This window comes from Homo sapiens, chromosome 6 (genome assembly GCF_000001405.40).
Source record: "Homo sapiens chromosome 6, GRCh38.p14 Primary Assembly".
In the NCBI taxonomy this organism is placed as follows: domain Eukaryota; kingdom Metazoa; phylum Chordata; class Mammalia; order Primates; family Hominidae; genus Homo; species Homo sapiens.
The window spans coordinates 141,146,489-141,156,051 of record NC_000006.12 but is presented as its reverse complement, the minus strand read 5'-3'; the positions used below and the strand labels follow the sequence as shown (position 1 = coordinate 141,156,051).

Below are 9,563 nucleotides of genomic sequence, written 5' to 3'. Positions count from 1 at the left end.
GATCCACGTGATATTGCTTCTTCTCCCAATCTGGAATTTTATAGTAAGAATTCTAGCCATTTCCCTTGGACCTATCCTCAGTGAATGGTGTAGTTTATTCCTGGGCCATGTATGGCAGCATGCATGATCTTAAAAGAAGTGAAATGTTCTTTAGAGAACTTCTATCTAGTCTGTTGTTGCAGTTGTGAAAAAAAATCACTGAATCTGAAGTCTTGGGGTTATGTTCATTTTCTATCTGAGAAATACAAACAAAATTCTAAGTCCCACAACCTACTGAATGGACCCTTTCTTGGCCAGGCAACCTTGAAAACTGAGTTCTCAGCCATGACAACATGGGAGGTCAGATACACCTTGTTATAGCCTCTCCATCGATAACCACCATTAGGTTTTCTTCGATAAGGGCTAATCAGAAACCAGCCCTTTCGGAAGACTCCACCGTTGGTATAACCAACGGCCTGACTGCTGCCCCTTCCTTTTGCAGTTCCAACAAAACAACCCATCAGCATCTCTTCCTGGTAGGAGACCATCCACTATGGAGTGGGTCTGGCCGGTCTACAGAGGATGATCAGTAATGGTTTTCCCGTCCTCTGCTTCACCTTTTGACATGAGAGGGCCAGAAACTCCACCCTTGGATCATGCTAACATCTCTATGTTCTGAACATGGATCCCATAGAGAATCATGAAGCTCAATTGCACATGCGTATGTTTCTCCTTTCATAAATATTCATTACTCCTCATATAGCTTATTAAATACATATATTTGGTCCCCTTGCTCAGCATAAGTTCCTCTTCCCTCTGTCCCTGTCTCAAAGTGTCTGTTTCTGGCTTCTGACCATAGGCTACTCTTCTCAGTCTGCCAGAATGGCCACTCTTCAGGCCACAACACTTCATGAAAAATAAAGTCCTCCTTTTCAAATATATGAATCTTGTCATTCTTCAGTTGACAATCAGATAATTATTTTAGGTACTTGAATAAGTTTCTCAAACTCCCTGATCATTTCCTTCTTTTTTAATAAAATGAAGATCTTGAGAATTTATTTCACAGAGTAATAATGAGCTAGACTCTATTTTCCTCCGTTGAATACTCCATTCTTTTAGGAACCCTATATTCCATTTCCATTCAATCCTGCCCCTAATGCCACAGGTGTGGAATTATCAGATTCTAGGTGGAATAATCAGACTTGCTCACTCTCTTGGTGAAAAGGAATTGTGATGCAAAAGATGAGTTAATCGAATAATGGTGGGCTTTGTAGTTTCTTATATGCACAAAACAGTGACCAAAACAGACAGAACTCTTGTCCTCATGGAGTTTTCATTCTAGTTCTAAACAACAGTGTTTTTGTTTTTGTTTTTTTTTCCACACCAACCAATTACTTAATTATCAGCAAACACCGACTGGGTGTCCTACAATTTAACTCTATTCTGACCCTGACCACCTGGAATTAGAACAGGCCATACAGATTAAGGATTCAGTCTCACAAAATATTCCTTACTTCAGATGCCAGTTGCAAATAGAAGATCCCTTAGTTACTCACAACTTCTTTCCAACTTGGCTACAAGTCAGAGTTTCATGGGACTCCCTTCTCATGTTCAACAATTTGCTGGGACAGCCCACAGAATCCAGGAAAACAGTTTACTTACTATTTACCAATTAGAAATTTTTTTTTTTTGAGATGGAGTTTTGCTCTTATTGTCCAGGCTGGAGCGCAATGGCGTGATCTCGGCTCACTGCAACCTCCGCCTCCCAGGTTCAAGCAATTCTCCTGTCTCAGCCTCCTGAGTAGCTGGGATTACAGGTGCATGCCACCACACCCAGCTAATTTTTCTATTTTTGGTAGAGAGGGGGTTTCATCATATTGGTCAGGCTCGTCTTGAACTCCTGACCTCAAGTGATCCGTCTGCCTTGGCCTCCCAAAGTGCTGGAATTACAGGTGTGAACCACCACAGCCAGCCTACAAATGCTATTTTAAAGGATACAAATGAACAGTCAGAAGAAAATATACATGGGGTGAGATCCAGAAGGGTCCCAAGCACAGGAACTTCCATTCCAGTGTGCCACCCTCCTGGCATGTGCAGCCTTCTTGTTCACCAACCCAGATGCTCTCCAAACCCATTTTTAGGGTTTCTATGGAGGCTTTATTATTAAGGCATGATTGATTTAATCATTGGCCTTTGGTGATTAAGTCAATCTCTAACCCCACTCCTTTTTCTGAAGATTGGGGGATGGGGCTGAATGTTCTAACCTCTAATTACAGGATTGGTTCCCTTGGCAACCAGGCCTGTATTCTTAGGTACTTTCCAAAAGTCACCTCATTAACATAAACTCAGGTAGAGTTGAAAGGGGCTTGTTATGAATAACAAAAGATACTCCTTTCATCTTTATGCTTCTGAGCTATTTCAGGAACAGGGGTGTTTGCAGGGTAGGGGGGCGGGGGAGGGGGGGCGGATATAATAACAAAGACATTTCAATCACCCCTACCACTCAGGAAGTTACAACAATTTTAGAAGTTCTGTGCCAGGAACCAGGGACAAAGAGCAAATATATAATTATTATTATATCATAAAAATCACAAAAACAAACATTTCACTAGTAAAGGCTAGAGTATGTCAATAGTGAAAAGTATTGAGGAGAAAAATAAGGAGCAGTGGGGAGAAGAAATGCTAGAACTAGGTGTTTGCAATCTTAAGGATCAGAAAATAATATCCCAGAATATGATCCATTGATGTGGTGAAATAAAGAAGCAGGCTCAAGATCTCTCTGACCTCCCCCTTCCCTGCAGCCCTGTCTCAAACCCTCTGTTTCTCCCTAAGCACAAGGAAAGGCTTTACTTTAATATTCCTTTATGCTTTGAGATCACATCTGCCAAAGAAAACACAATTGCCTTCTACTCCTTCCCTGAAATTTTATTACCAGAAGACAGGAATGTAACCACATCTGGATGGACTTTGTCACAAGATACTGTCTGTCTCTGGGCTCATTGAAATTCCTAAGAGAATCATTTATAGGATAATGTCTCCCTCCCGGGCCCATTTATCTCTCCTAAAATTATTTACTACTCCTCTAAAATTATCTATAGGCCCCCACTACCCTCTCCCCTATAAATGGGATATTTATACTTCCACCATCTGGCTCTTCTTTGAGTCACATATTTCATATGGCTCTCATGGATACGTGCATGTCAATAAATTTGTATGCCTTTTCTCCTGTTAATCTGTCTATTGTTAGGTTATTTCGGAAGGCTCAAACCTTCAGAGAGGGAGAGGTTCTTTTAATTCCTATGACAATTTTAAGATCTTTATGGTTAAAGAAAATGAAAGCAATACCAGTACAGCATTTTTGGTGCTTATTTCAGTTAACGCCTTTGGTTGATACCTCTCTACCCCCAAAATAGTTTATGCTATCAGACTCAAAAAATAAAAAACTTAAATGTTATAGAAAAAATAATATTCTAGGGACACTCAATCTCCCACATTATTATAAGAGATCTCTATTGTGATTAATATTAGGTGTCAACTTGACTGGATTGAAGGATGGCTAGATAGCTGGTAAAGTGCTGTTTCTGGGTGTGTCTGTTTGGGTGTTCTCAGAGGAGACTGACATTTGAATCAGTGGACTGGAAGAGGAAGACCCACCCTCAATGTGGATGGGCACCATCCAATCGGTTGCCAGTGCTGCTAGAACAAAGCAGCCAGAGGAAGTTGGGATAAGCTGGCTTGCTAAGTCTCCTGGCTTTCATCTTTCTCCTGCGCTGGATGCTTCCTTCTGTCCCTCCTGCCCTTAAACATCATACTCTAGAATCTTTTCCCTTTGAACTCTTGGACCTACACCAGTGTTTGCCAGAGGCTGTTGGGCCTTTGGCTACAGACTGAAGGTTGTACTGTTGGCTTCCCTGTTTTTGAGGCTTTTGGACTCAGACTGAGCCACTGCTGGCTTCTTTCTCAGCTTGCAGAGAGAGACTATCTTGGGACTTGAATTGTGATTGTGTGAGACAATTCTTTCTAATAAACCCCCTTTCATACATACATATGAAAAGGAGTACATATATGATAATAGTATATGTATTTCCATACATATATCCTATTAATCCTGTCCCTCCAGAGAACCCTGACTAATACAACCTCCATTTAAAAATTGCTGACATAGACTATCAACATTAGAAAAATTCCCTGGGCACTGAGACCATGATAAGCTCCCAGCATCCCTGCAACACTAGCAATGTGCAAAATATAGATTCACGAGTTGGGAATTCAGTAGTTTCTAAGTATATCCCTACCAGTGTGACAACTTATTTATGTGTCACAAACTGAATTGTCTATTCAGTGTCAGTTATTACTTATTTCTTATATACATTTCTCAAAGAGTTACCAGAATTAACAAGTGAATGAGACCATAATTAACCTTGATCCCCAGCAACTCATATATATATTTTATACCTGCTATTTTGCATGCCAACTAGTATAAAACATAAACAGCTTTTTATTAAAAGAATTTTACACTATGTGAGGGTCTGTTAGCTAAAGAGAGAGTAGAGCATCTGAAGTCAGAGGTTACTATATCCCAATTATAATTAATGTGTTTGGTCTACTTTTAGCTGTTTTGATTCCATGCAATTTATTTACTCTGAATGTTTACATCTATATAAAGTCACATATAAATATTATTGTTGTAGGAGTTATAAGAGATTATTTTAGGCAGATAGAAAAAGGTGTCCTTGGGAAGTTTTTTATTTTTTAAAGCATCTCCGGAAAAGTGTCTTGTAAAGCCCTGGCTCTTAGAGCCAGGCTGGCAATCTTTGATACGCAAATTCAGGCCATTAGAAACTGGGTCCACCCAACATGGTGATTCTCATGGCCTTCTTGCCCAGGCTTTTAATAGCTTTGAAGATTGTAACATTGGACTAGAGAAGGAATGTACGGGACTCATAAAGCACTAACATGTTCACAAATATGAAGCAAAACAAGAGTTAACTAAATGGACTGCAATCAGAAAGTTAAAGCAAACTTTTTTACTTTTTCTTGGAATATTGCTAATCCTTGTTTTGGTTTTCAGAGTCAAGGAAACTTATTTAAACTATTTATGGCCTTTAATACTTCAGTAAGGTATACTCCTATGAACAAAATTTGGAGCATGTTTATTTTTCTCTGCCTGGTTCCTCTAAAATTTGGAGATTATCTGGGAGTACTCTTAACTTATGGCAATATAGTTGTTTGCATCAGTGCAATAAGAATCCATTTTTCTTTGTCAACAGGACACAATTGGAAAAACTGATTATTTTACCAAGCTTTGACTGAAAGGGGGTGTTTCCCTTTAAGGAATCAAGCTTGACATGCAGAGCCAATAAAAGCCCCTTTGGGAGAACTGGCCTCATACTTTGTCTACACAGTCCCTGTGCGGGGTTCCTAACCTGTGGTCAGTAAAGAATGTCAATTTCTAACAGGTCTGGAAGCTCCAAGTTTATCTTGGGACCTCAAGAGGAGAGGATCACCCAACTTACAGGCATTAGGGGATACAAACCTATGACTGGGCTCAGCTTCAAAAGTCTTATCTGAAATTCCTCATGGAACAGAGTTTCATCAAAGCCAATCCAAAAGGCCTGTGTAAAAATAACCATTCTTGCTGTACTTTATGCAAATAATCAGGACTAGTATAAGACTAAAGTTTATTCATAATTAGTTTTTACACAAAATGAGGACTGGAGAGAAAAGCTTTGCTCCAAAACTTTTCATACACATTGTCATTAAATCCTAGTCTCATTAATTGTTTTTTAGCTTTTTGCCTACATTTTAGACTAACCCTGCTTATTCCTGTGAATCAAGTGGTGATCTTCTGCAGCTTGAAAAAAAAAGAAAAGGATGAGTAATGTAAAAATGTGAATCAATATAATAGTTCTGGGTAATTATCTTGCAAATTCTGCCAGGTAATGAAAGTAAGTAAGGTGCCCATAACCCCGAGGTTTCTTTGTTTGGGAAAATAAAACCAAGGAGCTTCATAGACCCCCAAAGGGGAATTCTGTATCTTGGCAAGTAAAATTTTAGATGGAAATTATCTACTACACCACACTTGTGGGAATTGCTATGCTCGCTCTACTGTTTGCTATAGGGTTATACATGGTAGCACCTTCTAACTGAAATATTGGACAGAGAGTTTCCATTGCAGAAGTATTTTGCTTAATTATTAGCCTTATAGCAGGAATAATAGTTAACAAAAAGGAAGGATGAAAGTTTTACTACCACTGAGTCTGCGAGGACTTTTTGTTGGGTTTAGTGATGCACTTTTAAATGAAACATGCTGCTTTTAGATTAACACCTCTAGTAAAGTAGAGGAAAATCTACAGGTACTTAAAGATCAAATCAAAATTATTGACAGGCTCATGGAAAATGCGGCTTCAGCACCACATGGCTACAATCCCTCTTTAATGAATTCCGGTCTTCTTTATGAAATTGGTTAGCCCCTTTATTAAGTCCTCTTTGGCTTATACATCTTGTATTAACATTTGAACTCTCTATGCTCAATACTATTGAGCATTACATAAACAATGTTACATTGCTCAATACTATAATTCAAATTGTTTCTTCTCTCCTAGAAGCAATCAAACTCCAAATGGTGCTGTAACCTGAATCACACATGGACATGCCATTCTTTCAAGGACCCTTATATCAACCCCAGGAGGAGCCCTAGCTGTTGTTCCCCATTCAGTGCCCCTCTGCAGCAGGAAATAGCCAGAAAGAGTCATCACCCAAAACGCCCTAACAGCATTTAGTGTGGTATCTCCACAGGGGGGAATGTTGCAGGAATTATTAAGATATTATTTTAGGGAGATATAGACGAAAAGAGGTCCTTGGGAAGTTTTCATTTTTTTTTTTTTTTTTTTTTTTTTTTTTTTTTTTGAGACGGAGTCTCGCTCTGTCGCCCAGGCTGGAGTGCAGTGGCGGGATCTCGGCTCACTGCAAGCTCCGCCTCCCGGGTTCACGCCATTCTCCTGCCTCAGCCTCCCAAGTAGCTGGGACTACAGGCGCCCGCCACTACGCCCGGCTAATTTTTTTTTGTATTTTTAGTAGAGACGGGGTTTCACCGTTTTAGCCGGGATGGTCTCGATCTCCTGACCTCGTGATCTGCCCGCCTCGGCCTCCCAAAGTGCTGGGATTACAGGCGTGAGCCACCGCGTCCGGCCAGTTTTCATTTTTTAAAGCATCTCCAGAAAAGTTTCTTGTAAAGCCCTGGCTCTTAGAGCCAGGCCAGCAACCTTTGATATGCAAGTGCCAGCCATTAGAAACTGGGTCCACCCAACGTGGCGATTCCCACAGCCTTCTTGCCCTTTCCCCACATGCTACTGGCAACATGGCCAACCCCACATATCCCCACGTGCGTAGAACATCCATGGCGCCCTGCATTTTCTTATTAAAAGGCTAGGGTGGGAGGGCTAGCTTTTTTGCGGGCTACGTGAATGACATGCCTGGTCAAACCAATCCCCTGAGCTCTGTGCAAATCATACATCACCTCCTCCGCCTGGCTGGTGTCCACCGCATTTGGGGACCTCCTCTTTTGGCTTTGGAGCCCCCTTCCCTCTGTCTCTGTACGGGGCAGTTTCTTCCTTTTGTCTTCTCCCTTCCTTCTTGCCTATTAAACTCTCCACTCCTTAAAACCAGTCCAGGTACGTGTGTCCGTGTTGTTTTATCTAAACCGGCATGAGGACCAAGAACCCTGGTGTTCCTCCACTCATCAGAGCCGAATCATTTTGAGCTGTTAAATCCTATAGAAGGCAGGACTAAAGGCTAATGAGTGGGAAAATGATAGAGACAACACATTAAACATGTAGAATATCTCAGTTGTGGAATAATGGAAAGAATAAAGAAAGCTAAATAGGAAAATGAAAATCCCTCATCCTCTTCAGGATCCCTCATTGCAATGGTATTTCACACATGGCCTTAGATTTGCCTGCATTACAATTATCAAGTACCTGTTTTATTTCTTTTTACTCAAAAAATGGATCAAAAGCAAATAATATAATGTTATAAATTTTATAAATGATATAATGTTGTGAAATGCTATCCTAGAGTTCTATGTCCAGCAAAACTATGTTACAAATTTGTGGTAAATATAAGAAAATAATTACTAACAAAACAATATAGTAAATAGTGACTAATTTGGGAGGCAATAAGTATATATGTTATTATTTCATGCATCCACTTAAAGAATAAAGAACAGAATGTTTAGCTTATTTATTAAGGTAATGATGGAGGGTAATGAGAGGAAACAGAAAATATGTTGAAGTAAATCTCAATTTGCCACAAACATTTTGAAGAGGCTATCTCATAATTTAAAAGACAATTTGTGAGAATATTTTTAGAATGTTCAATTATGCTGTTTACAAAAATACTGGCAAATATATCAGATAAATAATAACGAAAACAAGGTAGATAATTTATAATCCAAATTATAAAATAAATATACATAAGTCCATAGTTATATAAATACATAACTGAATAAATAAGAAGAGACAAATGTTCCTTAGAAAACAATATATACACATGGAATATATACATAATATACATATATTATCTATATTATATTTTCTCTCTATATATTCTGCCCTTGAAGAGTTGGACCTTAATCCCTACACCTTGAGTATGGATTGGAGTTAACAATTCTCTAAAGAATAGACTATAGAAAGGGAAAAAAGCAATTCCTTTGTAGAAAACTGGCAAACACCATATTAACTAAGTGATCAAGGTTATATCATCAGTGATAAAGTATGTTGATATCATGTACTCCCTGACAGAATATAATGAGAATGGCTTGTAACTGAGGGAGTCTTCTTCCCCAAAACCTATATCTAATCCAAATACAAAACACATTAGACAAACTTACATTGAGAAACATTCCATAGATATCTGAACAATACACGTTAGCCCTCTTATCATCATAAAAACACGAAAAGTGTGAGAAACAGTCACAAAACAGAGGAGGTGAAAGATACATGATAACTAAATGGAATATGGTATTCTGTATTGGCTCCTAGTACAGAAAAAGGACATTAGTGGAAAATTGGAAAAATCAAAATAGTACTTGGAGTTTACTTAAGTAATGTACCACCACTGTTGGTTCTGAGTTTTAACAAGCATACCATGGTTATATAAGATGTTAACATTAGAAGATAGAAATAAAGGAACGCTCTATATCATCTTTGCAACTTTTCGGCCAATCTAAGATTAATCCTAAATTAAAAAGTTTACTAAAAGTAAGAATATAGAAATTTAATATCAGAAAAAATAGACCCCCCAAAATATTTTAGATAAACACATTAATGTTTAATGATAAAAGCAATGATTCACTAGAAATGTATTACTGTTACAAAATATGTACCTGATATCAAGTCCTCAAGAACTTAAAGGGATACAGATTATGAAGTGAAAATTCCAATGACACTCCGAAAACTACTGCTCCAAAACATGTGCCTGATACCAAGTCCTCAAGAATTTAAGGAATACAGATTACGCAGTGAAGCTTCCAATGAAACCGTGAAATATTAATACAGTTCTCTGGATAACAAGTAACTCATACA

General features: G+C 38.7%; 2 annotated features.

Moving 5' to 3' along the window:
* Positions 1,951-2,564: an enhancer, noted in NCBI's record as "OCT4-NANOG-H3K27ac-H3K4me1 hESC enhancer chr6:141474625-141475238 (GRCh37/hg19 assembly coordinates)". NCBI's record gives its function as "activates a minimal SCP1, AML or CMV promoter by ChIP-STARR-seq in primed H9 embryonic stem cells {active_cell/tissue: H9 hESC(primed)}" and the evidence as "EXISTENCE:reporter gene assay evidence [ECO:0000049][PMID:30033119]".
* Positions 2,264-2,423: an enhancer, noted in NCBI's record as "active region_25174". NCBI's record gives its function as "activates an Ori minimal core promoter by ATAC-STARR-seq in GM12878 lymphoblastoid cells {active_cell/tissue: GM12878}" and the evidence as "EXISTENCE:reporter gene assay evidence [ECO:0000049][PMID:35858748]".